The sequence below is a fragment of the Homo sapiens genome, chromosome 18, assembly GCF_000001405.40.
Source record: "Homo sapiens chromosome 18, GRCh38.p14 Primary Assembly".
NCBI classification, from domain to species: Eukaryota; Metazoa; Chordata; class Mammalia; order Primates; family Hominidae; genus Homo; species Homo sapiens.
The window spans coordinates 69,865,250-69,879,867 of record NC_000018.10 but is presented as its reverse complement, the minus strand read 5'-3'; the positions used below and the strand labels follow the sequence as shown (position 1 = coordinate 69,879,867).

At 40.2% G+C, this 14,618-nt stretch overlaps 1 protein-coding gene across 9 annotated transcripts in view; it reads left to right on the top strand.

The window, feature by feature from the left end:
• The window catches only part of CD226 (CD226 molecule), a 108,500-nt gene that overhangs the window by 81,906 nt on the left and 11,976 nt on the right, over positions 1-14,618 (top strand). For 8 of the 9 annotated variants that reach the window (XM_006722374.4, NM_001303619.2, NM_006566.4 and 5 more), the window contains 2 exons: positions 6,622-6,724; positions 12,457-12,511. In XM_006722374.4, coding sequence (XP_006722437.1) covers positions 6,622-6,724; positions 12,457-12,511 — 158 coding nt within the window. Of the gene's footprint in view, positions 1-6,621; positions 6,725-11,751; positions 12,122-12,456; positions 12,512-14,618 lie in introns of those variants that run through there. The other variant, XM_047437276.1, reaches the window with a different exon arrangement.

Below are 14,618 nucleotides of genomic sequence, written 5' to 3'. Positions count from 1 at the left end.
GTCATCTGAATCCACTGGGAAATGGTGCTGTGGGAAGTCAGGGAACCTGAACGGAGGGACTGGCTGAAGCCATGGCAGAAGAATTTAAATTGTGAAGATTTCATGGACATTTATCACTTCCCCAGTCAATACTCTTGTGATTTCCTATGCTTGTCTTTACTTTAATCTCTTAATCCCGTCATCTTCGTAAGCTGAGGATGTATGTCACCTCAGGACCCTGTGATGGTTGTGTTAACTGCACAAATTGTTTGTAAAGCATGTATGTTTGAACAATATGAAATCTGGGCACCTTAAGAACAGGATAACTGTGATTTTCAGAGAACAAGGGAGATAACCTTAAAGTCTGGCTGCCTGTAGGCCAGTCAGGACAGAGCCATATTTCTCTTATTATCGAAAATGGGTAAGAGAAATATCGCTGAATTCCTTCCCCAGTAAGGAATATTAATAATTCACAGCCCTGGGAAAAGAATGCTTTCCTGGGGGGAGGAGAGCCCTCTATAATGGCCTCTCAGCGGGGGGTGTCTGCCTTATGCAGTTGCAGATAAGGGATGAAACATGCCCTGGCCTCCTGCAGCACCCCCAGGCTTGCTAGGATTAGGAAATTCCAGCCTGGCGAATTCTAGTCAGACTGGTTCTCTGCTCTTGAACCCTGTTAAGATGTTTATCAGTGACAGTGTGTTCCTGAAACTTCATTAGCAATTTTAATTTCACCCCATCCTGTGATCTCGCTCTGCCTCCATTTGCCTTGTGATCTTTTGTTGCCCTTGAAGCATGTGATCTCTGTGACCCACACCCTATTCATACACTCCCTCCCCTTTGAAAATTGCTAATAAAAACTTGCTGGTTTTACGGCTCAGGAGGCATCACGGAACCTGCCAACATGTGATGTCTCCCCTAGACACCCAGCTTTAAAATTTCTGTCTTTTGTACTCTTTCCCTTTATTTCTCAGACTGGCCAACACTTAGGGAAAATAGAAAAGAACCTACATTGAATTATCAGGGGCAGGTTCCCCCGATAAAATGGGATGATTTTGCTTTTGTTTCTTGACCAGGAATTGCTTGACCCTGAAAGTCTTGGGAGAAGACATGGTGAGGAATGGAGTCAACCACACACACCATGATGGCGGCGAAAACCACATGTTTTCTTTCATCTTTTTGAGAAAAGCCATTCAAAAAGGTGTGAGGTGGTCTCTCATTGTGGTTTTAATTTGCAGTTTCCAGCCTAACGCTTGATGTTAGAGAGTCAGGACCTGCGGGTTTTCCCTGGCATATTCTTTGGCCCAGTTATTTAGGTTCTAAGTGACTTGCTTTCTTCACTCCCTAACTCCACCCCCACCCTAATAGAGGATAAACTATAGACATTAATGGCCACTCTTGCCTGCCGAACTCTGAGGGAAGAAGGGACTGGCAATATTTCTATCATGAGCCTTTTCTAAGAGTGTATAACTCAGCCATAAATACTTGTCATTGCCAGAAACTTAGCCTAGAGGGTCACAATCCTGGAGTAAATTATTCTTTTATATATTTCACTGACTTGCTTTAAATTGTTTTAACTGTATTTATCTTCTGTGATGTAAGGTAATGGTTTTACAGTTCAAGACACTTCTCCTCCTATGAATCAACACAGCATTGGGATATAAGTGAAAAAAGTTAGCAAAAAAATGGCTTCTGGAAACAATTCTTCTTTTTTAAAGAAAAGGGCTTCCTTTTTAAAGAAAAGGGCTTCAGGGCTGACATTACTCAATCTGACATCTATTAGCAAAACTTAAAAAACTAAATGTTATGAACTGTTGATTAACTCCCAAAGCATCCGTACCCATTTGCTTTTCCTTTTTATTTTCCCCAGCCATACAGGGCCCAGCAAGGTGCAAGCCCTGTATAGGCCAGTGGTCATTCATGTGGAAGCTGCAGGCAAGGCAGGGAATGGACTGAGAAGCCATGTCAGCTACAGGCTGGGCCACTCTAGATTGAAATGTCTCTGGATTGAATCTCTACCTGACTCCATGCTTTATTTCACCTTTATTTCTTAAGAAAAAATCCTTTTTCCCTAACTATTTTTAAATTGTCTAGGACTTTTCAAAACAATATATGTTCCACTAAATCAGGTATTGTGGTATTAGGATATGCAGATCTATAGGTTTTCATCCACGGGTCCTGGCTCAAAATTCACATGGTCCTTGTTATAATGTTGGGGCACTTCAGGCCTCAGGAAACAGAAGTTCTCTCTGACCTTCTCCTGTCCTTTCTCCTGACCAAGGTAAGACTCTAATCTGAATGTGGGTCAAAAGACCCTCATTCCAGAGAGGATCCCACCCCATATCTAAAGTCTGGACAGGACTTGCTGGGTTTAGATGATATGCTTTTTGCCCAGTCCCATTTCTACAAGGTTGTCAGTCATACCTACGTAATGAAGCCTCCATAAAAATCCAAGAGGATGGGGTTTGGAGAGTTTCTGGACAGCTGAACATGTGGAGCCTCCTGGAGGGTGATGTGGACAGGGAGGGCATGGGAACTCTGTGCCCCTTTACACATGCCTCACCCTACCAATCTCTTCATCTGTATCCCTTGCAATATCCTTGATATTAAACTGACAAATGTGTTTTCTTGAGCTCTATAACTGGCTCCACCAGATTAACCAAACCTGAAAAAGGGGTCTTGGGAACCCCAGCTTGAGGCCCATTGGTCCGAAGTTCTAGAGGCCTGGGACTGGGCACGGTGGCTCACGCCTGCAATCCCAGCACTTTGGGAGGCCGAGGAGGGCGGATCACCTTAGGTGAGGAGTTCGAGACCAGCCTGACTAACATGGTGAAACCCCGTCTCTACTAAAAATACAAAAATTAGCTGGACGTAGTGGCGGGTGCCTGTAATCCCAGCTACTCAGGAGGCTGAGGCAGGAGAATCACTTGAACCTGGGAGGCGGAGATTGCAGCGAGCCGAGATCCTGCCATTGTACTCCAGCCTGGGTGACAGAGCGAGACTCCGTCTCAAAAAAAAAAAAAAAAAAAAAAAAAAGTTCTAGAGGCCTGGACTTGCAATTGGTGTCTGAAGGGCAGGGTTAGCAATGGAGGAGGGGGTGAGATGTCTTTGGGACTGAGCCCCCAGCCTGTGGGATCTGATACTGTCCTTGGGTAGATCATGTCAGAATTGAATTGGCGGACACTCAGCTGGTGCCTGTTACTGTGGGGGAAAACCACCCACACCTTTGGTCACAGAAGTCTGTTGACGATTGCTGTGGTAGTGTGAGAGCAGAGAAAAAACACAATTGGAGAGTTTTTTTTCTACACAGGTGTCAAACTTGTTTTTACCTACCACTTTGTCTGTAGTACCAGGCATACAGTACACCTTGAAATACTTTGTGTTTAAAGACTGAGTGAATAAATGGATCTGATCCAAGAGGCCAAACATTACTAAAAACGGGTTACAAATAGGTAACATATTTCCTATGAAACAATGCATCTGAAATTTGGATTTATAATTGAACAGTGTGTCACAAGTGGTCGTACTTTCAAGCAGGTTATACTGTTAAATTCATATAAATTAGACCTTCATAAAGAAAGCCATCTTAATTGTTAAGTATTCTATTTCTAAAGAAAAGATTTCTACATCCTGTACTTTAACCACTAAGATTTGATAAAATATTCTTTTTTAAGCCTGCAGATCTTTATTTTTTTGGTACTGTATTTGCCTGATCACAAAATGAACACATCGTCTAGAAAATTTGGAAAATATAAAAAAGCCCAAAGAAAACAATTGCTTTAAATTTTTTTTTAAATAATTAACTGTCAAATAAAGATTGAATATATTCAGGGCATACAGTGTGATTATTTGATGTATATAAACATGGTGTAGTAATCACCACAATTAATTAACTCATGTATCACCATCCATACTGTATAGTAGGTCCCCATTATAACCAAAAGTTGGTACCCTTTAGCCAGCGTCTCCCTATCTTCTGCCCTCCCACCTCCTGGCAACCACTGTTCTATTCCCTGCTTCTATAAGTTTGACTTTTTTAGATTCCACATACAGGTGAGATTATACAGTATTTGTCTTTCTATGTCTGGCTTATTTCACTTACATAATGTCCTCCAAATTCATCCATGCTGTCGCAAATGGCAGGATTTCACAGCAAAAGAGCAACCCAATTAAAAAGTGGGCAAAAACAGACATCTTTCCAAAGAAGACATAACACTGGCCAATAGGTATATGGAAAGCTGCTCAACATTACTGGTCATCAGGGAAATGCAAATCAAAACCCCAGTGAGCTCTCACCTCACACCTATTAGAATGGCTGTTATCAAAAAGGCAAGAGATAGCAAGTGTTGGTGAGGATGTGGAGAAAAGGCAACCCTTGTACACTGTTGGCGGGAATGTAAATGGGTACACTCGTTATTGGTACAGGTAGTAGGTTCCTCAAGAAATTAAAAATAGGCCAGGTGCGGTGGCTCATGCCTGTAATCCCAGCACTTTGGGAGGCCAAGGCAGATGGATCACCTGAGGTCAGGAGTTCGAGACCAGCCTGGCCAACAGGGTGAAACCCCATCTCTACTAAAAATACAAAAATTAGCTGGGTGTGGTGGCAGGTGCCTGTAATCCCAGCTACTTGGAGGCTGAGGCAGGAGAATTGCTTGAACCTGGGAAGTGGAGCTTGCAGCGAGCTGAGATTGTGCCACTGCACTCCAGCCTGGGTGACAAGAGTGAAACTCTGTCCCAAAAATAAAATAAAATTAAAATAAAATAAATAAAGCTATCATATGAACCAGCAATCTGATGGGTATTATATACAAAGGAAATGAGGTCAGTATCTTGAAGAAATACCTGCACCGTGTATGTATTGCATCATTGTCTACAGTAGTCAAGATGTGGATGCAACCTAGGTGTCCATCAACAGATGAATAGATAAAGAAAATGTGGTACATAGACACAATGTAGTACTATTAACCCTTTAAAAAAGAAGGAAATCATATCATGTGTGACAGGGTGGATAAACCTTGAGGACATTATGAAAAGTGAAATAAGCCAGACACAAAAAGAAAAAATTTTGTATGACTTCACTTATTTGTGGAATCTAGGTCTAAAACGTTTAAAAATAAAATGTTTGCTTATTTGTCTTAGTTTCTCTTTGCAGTAAAGTTTGTGAAAGAATAAGTGGGTCTATACTTTGAGTTCTTATGAAAAAAATGCAGCTACATAGTGGATAAAGTGAGAAGAAATTTTCTGAGGAAAAGATGGGGAAGAATTGGTTGAAAGTCATGGTTTTCAGGCTGCAATAGGATTCCAGACAGCCGGGGTGTCACAGTACAAACATTCAAGCTTTGATTTCAGGAGGAAGGGAAATTGTGCTGCCCTCTCAGAGCCTGGCATCATCCTAATGGTGGGGTGATTGACAGGTTCGCTTTCCCGAAGAGAGACAGCAATGAAGACCATTGGGTTTCATTTCAGTCCTATTCCCAGCAGCAGATGTTGATGGGATTCTTCCCTGTGGGAGGCACTCACAACATGCTCTGTGGGTTGAAGGGTGAGAGGTGTGTTGTGGGCAGGAGGATGTAACAAAAAGATAAAATGTTCTCTGACCTCACTGGGCTCACACTCCAGAGGGGACATTTCTCTAATCGCAGTTGATTGTTCTTGTGAATATTGACTCATGAGAGTCTCATCACAATTCTGTGATGTAATTAGGGCTGCTGCCATTGCCATCAGTTGACAAATGAAGAGACACATCCACAGTAAGGAATTTGCTGGAGTCGGTCAGTTGAATTGTGAAAGATTTAGGATGAGAATTTCAGATTACTGGACCATGGTAAACTTTCAGACATTGAGTTGGAGTAACATTTTTTTTTTCTGATTTTTTGTATCATTACCAAATTGAATAGAAAATATCTATTTTTCTTAAATTATACTTATAAACATCAGAGTTATATTCTGTTGTATGTTGAATGTACTTAATATATCAGGCATAAAAGATAATCTTTGTTTATTTACTATTTTATTTATTTTTACATAGAGTCTCTCTCTGTTGCCCAGGCTGGAGTGCAGTGGCAAGATCCGGGCTCACTGCAAGCTCCGCCTCTGGGGTTCAAATGAGTCTCGTGCCTCAGCCTAATGAGTAGCTGGGATTATAGGCATGCACCACCACACTGGGATCACTTTTTGTGTTTTTAGTAGAGACGGGGTTTCACCATGTTGCCCATGCTGGTCTTGAACTCCTGGCCTCAAGTGATCCCCTCTCCTAAACCTCTGTGATTACAGGCCTGAGCCACTACACCTGGCCTATTTCCTATTTTAATAGTTTTTTTTTTTCTACAAAAGGTTTTGTGTATATGATTGGCAGCTTATTTGAATGAGGTCTTTGGCAAACGCATGCTCTTTATATTTTTTTTTTTTGTAATGTGTAAAACTCAGCTTAATCAAAAAACAAATAAAAATCTATTAGGAGTTAGAAATATTTAGGAGACTCTAAAAGAAAAATTCTCTTTTTCCTGTAACTCATTCTATTTTTTTTGTTGGATTCTTTGTTTTTGTTACTCAATAATTAATGTATCTTTTCTTTATTTTCCTGCCTTACTTTTTACTGCCTTTGGCTGAATTCCTAATTCCTACAATATTTTTTTTCTCTCCTAGGTAAAACCGATAACCAATATACCCTCTTTGTGGCTGGAGGGACAGTTTTATTGTTGTTGTTTGTTATCTCAATTACCACCATCATTGTCATTTTCCTTAACAGGTGAGTAGTGCAACTTATGCTGAATCTTATTCACCATGTTAGAGGTTCTCTATTAATAACCCAGTAATTTGTCAAGCTGTCTCAGCATTCACATATATATTTTTGTGAGTACTGTTCTAACACAAAGGAGGAGAAGTAGCTGTGGTAATGTTACAGGGAGAGCTGGAATAGTTCATTTAAGAATTGGTAGAAGCTGGTGGTCTGCCCCTTTTATATTCTGCCTGATGCCTCTGCTCTTTATCCTGCCCTGTCTTCCTCCTCCAAGGAAAAAGCTGACAGCGAGGGGGTGGTGTGTGTGCGTGTATGACACAGCGCGAGATGGATACAGATTCTGAGAAGGGGAAGAACAAGGTTTAACAGTGATAAAGCCTTCATTTATTCATTCATCAAATATTTATTGTGCACAGCAGTGAACAAGACATAATGAAGCTCACATCCCAATAAGCAAACAGCATAATTTCAAATAGTTGTATATTCTCAGAACCAAGAAATCTAGGTGCTTAAAATTACTGAGAAGAAGGAATTGGAGGGTGCTGCCTTAGAGACAGCAGGGAGCCATTTGGCCTATACTAAATTTTTTTTAATCTTTTATTGGCTGGTCACAGTGATATGTGCCTGAAGTTCCAGCTACTCAGGAGGCTGAGGCTGGAGGATTGCTTGAGTCCAAGAGTTCGAGTCCAGCCTGGGCAACATAGCAAGACCCTGTCAATAACAAAAATTAAAAATTAAAAAAACCTTTTACTGTATTGTAGCACAGTTGGGAATTTTCTAGGATATTCTTGGCTGAGTTTTTCTTCCCCTTCTAGTTCTCCTGTGCTTATCAGCTCACTTGTGTAGGTATTTGTTACATATCTGCTGTAATCATAGCAGGTTGAAATTATTCCTTATAATGTATTACAGCTAAAGTGTTATCTTCTTAGGGGAGGAAGGGACCACACTTTTGATGTCTATATTTTTCATGTCTGGCATATCATAGATACTTAATATATGTTTGCTGGGTAGGTGAATATGTCCATCTGCACTCCTCTCCTTCAGTAATGTTACCAAATGCACCACACACACACACACACACACACACACACACACCCCTTGTTAATAGGATTTCCAGTGTCTCTCCATCTTGTCTCTTCATCCTTGACCTCTGGCTCTTTAGCAGCTGTCATCACTGCTCCCTGGTTTTGGTAACGTCTCCAGCCTGCTCTCAGCTGTAGCCTCTTTCTCTAACCCATCCAGTTTCCCTGGGTCTTCTTCTGAAGGCTGGGTTGGCATGTCATCTTCCTGTTCAATATCTTTGGTTATCTTCCCACTCCTACCAGAATAATGTTAAAACTCATTAACCCTGTCATTAACCCTGACTGAAGCCTAATTTTTATTCATACTTTCTACTTTATTTAATCTCCCGGATGTTGATAAATTTTGTGGAAACTGAAGCACACCCATTGCTCTCCCCATCTGGTTTGCTACCAAAGTGCTGTTTCCCCACATTTGGCTGCATTCCTATGTATCATTCAAGGTGTGAAACACCTGTCCCCTCTGTGAGCTCTGTACTGTTCTCTGTCCCTGCAAATAGACATGATGTCACCATCTGGAATCATTGTGTACGTCTCTGCTACTCCTCACATCCTGCTTTGTATTTTAATCACTTTCATGCTTGCCATCCCTTCTATTCATAATGGCAGAGTTTGTGTTTCATTCATTTTTTAGCATTTGGTAGCATTTAGCACTAATCTGTCCAAATAATGAATGCTCAATAAACATTTGTCTAATTAAACTAAAACAGGAGGTCAGGTCATTTCACCTTTTTCCCCATCACGGACTGCCCTTAAGTCTTTCCCTGAACAGAAATTAGCAAATTGAAGTAAGGAACCGAGGTGTTAGTAGCACCACGGACTCTTCCACTTTTTCACCTTGGCAATGGGAAACATCCTGGGGGCAGAGATGGCAGAGGGAGCACATGGGAACCGGGCAAATGTGACTAAGAGACAGCGAGTGGTGACAAACCTCCACAGGGTCACAGATGTTGGACATGATAGATTTTGCTTCATGAAAAATTTTGCTTCATGAAAATGCATTATGCATTACTTTTACATGAATAGCTAAATTGAACGGTAGAATACATTGTCCCACTTGGTTAAATGTGATAAAAGGAGATTAGTGGACTTGAATTTGTAATCATGGATGCACACCACAAGGGAAAAGCACTTGTTCCTTCTGCCTCGTCACTAGTATCAGTTTGTGGTTGTTACTTCCAATAGAAATGCTTCGAAAGATGACCCAAGGGCTCCAACAATGACCTTCTGAACTCCGTTTTACTGACTGTTTAAAATAATCCTGCAGCTTCAGATGTATTGACTTGGATAGAAGCCAACATAAATCAGACAGTGTCCCTGAACAAAACTGAATACTTCACACTCAGTGCCTGGTAGCCTGTGTGTTGGAGGGATTGGCGGCAGCTTCTCTGCTCCTGGTTTGTGCTGTTTTCATGCAGAGATAGCAACAGTAACACGACTAAGTGACCATGGCTAGGGAAACAGCCTCACATTGGCAAGTGTGAAAGGAGCCAAAATATGGCCAGGCATGGTGGCTCACGCCTGTAATCCCAGCACTTTGGGAGGATGAGGTGGGTGGATCATTTGAGGTCAGGAGTTCGAGACCAGCCTGGCCAACATGGTGAAACCCCATCTCTACTAAAACTGCAAAAATTGGCTGGGCGTGGTGGTGGGTGCCTGTAGTCTCAGCTACTCAGGAGGCTGAGACAGGAGAATCACTTGAACCCGGGAGATGGAGGTTGCAGTGAGCCAAGATTGCACCACTGTACTCCAGCCTGGGTAACAGAGTAAGACTCTGTCTCAAAAAAAAAAAAAAAAAAAAGGGGGAGCCAAACTGTGTTCTATAGATGTGCACCTGAGTGTAGGAAGAAATTTAATATTTAGGGAGAAAAATGTTAGATATATATTTTTACATTCCTTGTGAACACTGGCATTAATGGATAGGGAACCTTGGTTTTCGGGGCTCTCTGGGTTTTGGCATTGAAAATCTCTTGGCTGGGTGCGATGGCTCACGCCTGTAATCCCAGCACTTTGGGAGGCCGAGGTGGGCAGATCATGAGGTCAGGAGTTCAAGACCAGCCTGACCAACATGGTGAAACCCCATCTCTACTAAAAATAAAAAAAAAATTAGCCAGGCATGGTGGCGGGCGCCTGTAATCCCAGCTACTCAGGAGGCTGAGGCAGGAGAATCACTTGAACCCGGGAGGCGGAGGTTGCAGTGAGCTGAGATTGCAGCATTGCATCCCAGCCTGGGTGACAGAGCGAGACTCCATCTCAAAAAAAAAAAAAAAAAAAGAAAAAAAAGAAAATCTCTCATCCTGGGAAACTCCTTAGTCCCAGGCAAACCAGAATGGCTGGTCAACGTAAATCCAATTGTGATATGTTTACTCTCTTTATTTTTTTATTTTCATTTTTATTTTCTTAACATTTATTTTAAGTTCAGGGATACATGTGCAGGATGTGCAGGTTTGTTACATAGGCAAACATGTGTCATGGGGTTTGTTGTATAGCATATTGCATCACCCAGGTATTAAGCCTTATACCCAATAGTTATTTTTCCTGATCCTCTCCCTTCTCCCACCCTCTGCCCTCCAGTAGGCTCCAGTGTGTGTTGTTCCCGTCTATGTGTCCATGTGTTCTCATCATTTAGCTCCCACTTATAGGTGAGAACATGTGGTATTTGGTTTTCTGTTCCTGCATGAGTTTGCTAAGGATAATGGCCTCCAGCTCTATCCGTGTCCCTGCAAAGGACATGATCTCATTTCTTTCTGTGGCTGTATAGTGTTCTATGGTATATGTGTACCACATTTTCTTTATCCAGTCTATCATTGACGGGTATTGAGGTTGATTCCATGTCTTTGCTATCATGAATAGTGCTGCAATGAACACATGCTTGCATGTGTCTTATAGTAGAATGATTTATATTCCTTTGGGCATATACCCAGTAATGGCGCTGCTGGGTCAAATGGTATTTCTGTCTGTAAGTTTTTGAGGAATCACCACACTGTCTTCCACAATGCCTGAACTAATTTACATTCCCACCAACAGCGTAAAAGTGTTCTTTTTCCTCCACAACCTTGCCAGCATCTAATATTTTTTGACTTTTTAATAATACAGATGAGAGGACTGAACTTTAAAGACATAAATAACTCAGCTAGTAAATTGCAGAGTGCAAGTTAAACATAGATCATTTGACTCTAAGTTCCATGTTCTCTTTTGTTTCATCACATTGTATGCTCCAGGCTTATTTAAATGTGTATGTGTGTGTCTGTGTGTGTGTGTGTGTGTGTGCGTGCACGCGCACGTGTGCGCATGTGCATGTGCGTGCATTTGGGCCTGGTTGGGAACGTTAACTGCACGTTGTGAGATAGCAAGCCTTGTGAACCACAATTTAATAAAAGGTCAAAGATCATAGATCTTTTCCTTATCTTTAAAATGAGGATAATAATAGCATCTATATCATAGATTTATTTTGAGGAGTAAATGATCTAATTTATATAAAACACCTAGCCATATGCCTTGTGTATAGTAAATTTACACATAGAATAAACAAATAAATGAATAATTGGTCAAAATAATAATAAATAAGAAAATAAATGCACATAGAATAAGGTAAGATTATATTGACATGATAGGAGGATTTCAAAGCAACTAGAAGAGACAATTGGAGTCAATATCCATTTCCTGCATAACCTTTCCCTGGAGAAAGACCATCTTATTTTCAAGATATTCACAAAGGAATTACAACCTCACCTTAAAGAGAACTCCCAAAACATTACATTTCTGTATCTTCTGTATCTAACAGAGGAGTCTGTTGTTCAATAAGAATCTTTTCCTTAGGGAGATAAAAAGAGTCACCATCTCCCTATAATAACTATTTTATATAGTTGGATACAGTTATATCAGCTCTTGCATTCAGTTACAGTAGCCTCTTTTCTTCTTCTCTGGTATTTTCTCTTCTATGATTCCCCTGGTTAGGTTTTTATGGGTTTCATTGGAACTGTGGAGCGTTTATTGAATACTGTGGTTGCAGATGGTCCTTTCAGTCACGGCGAAGTGATTCCAGAAGTTGGAGAGCTTAATAGTCAAGAGGGAGGGCGATGGATTTAAATTCCAGCACTACACCAACCGATCATGTGATTTGGGACAAGTTACTCTTCCTCTTCACACCTTAGTTTCTAAACCTGTTTATATGAAATCTTAATAAAATAATCTACATAAGTGATTTAATAAAATAATCCATACGAGTGATTTAGAATAACACCCAAAAGATTTTATAAAGCTTCATTATATTGTCATCCAAGAAGTTACACTGCTGGCATTTAAAATAAATTTTAATTGTGGAAAATGTCTTAAATGTGAGGTTATTTGGAGAAAGCTATAAGTCATTTATGTAATAAGTCACTATAAATCATTCTTTAGTAAAATCACTGAGATTAATTACTAATGCACAGTGGTTAGATATCCATTTAGTTGCCCTCACCATCTGGGAGCAATTTGGAGAAGACAGGGAAAATGAAAAAAACTGTAGGGTAACAGAATTTTGGATAAATGTGCATAAAGCTACTTCAACATATTAGAAGGTGCATGTGGGCTAGGGGTACAGTGAGGTATAGAGTCTTCGAAATAATATTAGTACTGGAATATCATATCTTTATATCCTTTATTGAATATGCATTCCAGAAGGAGAAGGAGAGAGAGAAGAGATCTATTTACAGAGTCCTGGGATACACAGAAGGTAAGTTTATACGGAACTGTCATTTTTTTCTTTTGTAATTTACAGATGCAAAGTCAGTCTCTTTTGCAGTTAGCAATCTTATATTTTATTGTCCTTTCAGTAACCTGACCATGCAGTTGCCTGTAATTTAAATATCAGCTATTTGGAGAAAGTTATTTTCTGAACTATTCTATTTTTAATACCCTTTGAAACTAAGTTTTTTATATGAATATAAATAAAGGAGCAATTACCCTGGCGTAATAACAATCAACACTATGCCTTCCCTAAATCTTTGTTCCTTTTCTAGGGCTGCTGTGACAAATTACCAAAACGGGGTGGCTTAAAACAACAGAAATCTATTCTTCCATAATTCTGGAGGGTTGAAGTACAAGAAACAGTGTCAGAAGTACTGGTTTCTTCGTGGGATGAGAATCCATCCCATGCTTCTATCCAGCTTCTAGTGGAGCTGTCGATCCTTGGCTGGTAGACACATCGCTCCAATCTCTGCCCCTCTCATCACTGTTCTCAGCTGTGTGTGTGTGTCTGCCTTCCTTCTTTTCTTATGGAGACCCCAGTTATCTTGGACTTAAAGGCCCACCCCTCTCCAGCACAGCGTTGTTTGAGCTTAGCTAATTACAAGGATCCTATTTTCAAATGAGGTCACATTATGAGGTTCTGAGGAGGACATGAATTTGCAGGGGACAGTATCCAACCCAGGAGAGGACATAATATTTTTATGTCATAAGGTTATTGTGATGGTTAAATTGCATAAAAGAACCAGAAGCGTAGCAAGCACATAGAAGAACGTAATGATATTCATTATTATTATTATCTTTGGAGGTAAGTTATTAGTGTATACTTATACAACCAAAGAACTTTTTTATTTCCTTATGGGCTGCAGGAGTTTGATGAGCTGTAAAAGTTTCTTCCTTATTCTGCCTTGCTGCTGCCCCTTAGTGTTTAACTAAAAGACTAGAAACTTCCTTCTGGGTTTGCAGATAAGAGGGATATGTATTTTCATGCTCGTTATCCCCACTATACTTCAAATCTCTTCCTTTAATGCATAGCATCCTGTTTATGAAATTTCACAAAAAAAGTTGCTATGGATTGAACATTTATGTCTTCCCAACATTCATATGTTGAAATCCTAATGCCTAATGCGATGATATTAGGAGGTGGAGACTTTGGGATGTAATTAGATCATGAGGGTGGCGTCTTCGTGAATGGGATCAGTGCCTTTTTAAGGACAGAAGAGCTTGCTTCCTCTTTCTGCTCTTTGCAATGTGAGGATACTGAGAAGACAGTTGTCTGCAAACCAAGAAACAGGCCCGCAGGCCCTCACTGGACTCTTTTTTTTTTCTCAAGTTAGGAAAATATTTTCTTAATCTTGGACTTCCCAGCCTCCAGAACTGTGAGGAATAAGTGTTTGTGGTTTAAGCAACCCAGTCTACAGTATTTTGTTACAGCAGCCCAAACTAAGACAAAAAATTCCCCAATTCCTAGCCAAAAGTATATAAATTTCTTTTCATTTTAACTATTCGCAGTGGAATTCTACATGGCCACAAGCCAAGTACTAAAAAGGTTCTGACAATCCAACATGTGTTCATCAGATGCCTTCATAATTTATCAGTTTAACTTTTTATTTATTAAGTAGTTACTTTTGCAAAAAATATTTTTTTTGTTTGTTGGCAAAAAACATGGATTGCTTCTTGATGCCAACTGTAGAATCAAGAAACCTTGCTTTATTTCATCAGCCACTTCAGCAAGAAATAAATTGGTGCTCTGTCATACACAATTTTGGGATTCCCTTCTTCATCCTTAGCCTTTGTCTACTCATGCCAGTCTAGTCACATTTATTGTTGTGAATTTGGGGAATGAAAGGGAGCTTTGCAACGGTCTATATTAGGTATCCAACTTTTTCAGGTTTTTGTAGAATAATATTTTGAAGGATTATTAAAGAGTTAATAGGTTGGACTGTCAAAAAAAGACATTAGAACTACTTCATTCTCTTTTTTAAAAGATAACCTCTATAAGTAATCATGGCACTTGAATTTTCATTTTGCTTTCTTCTTAAAAACACTAACATCTGGCTGGTCATGGTGGCTCACGCTTGTAATCCCAACACTTT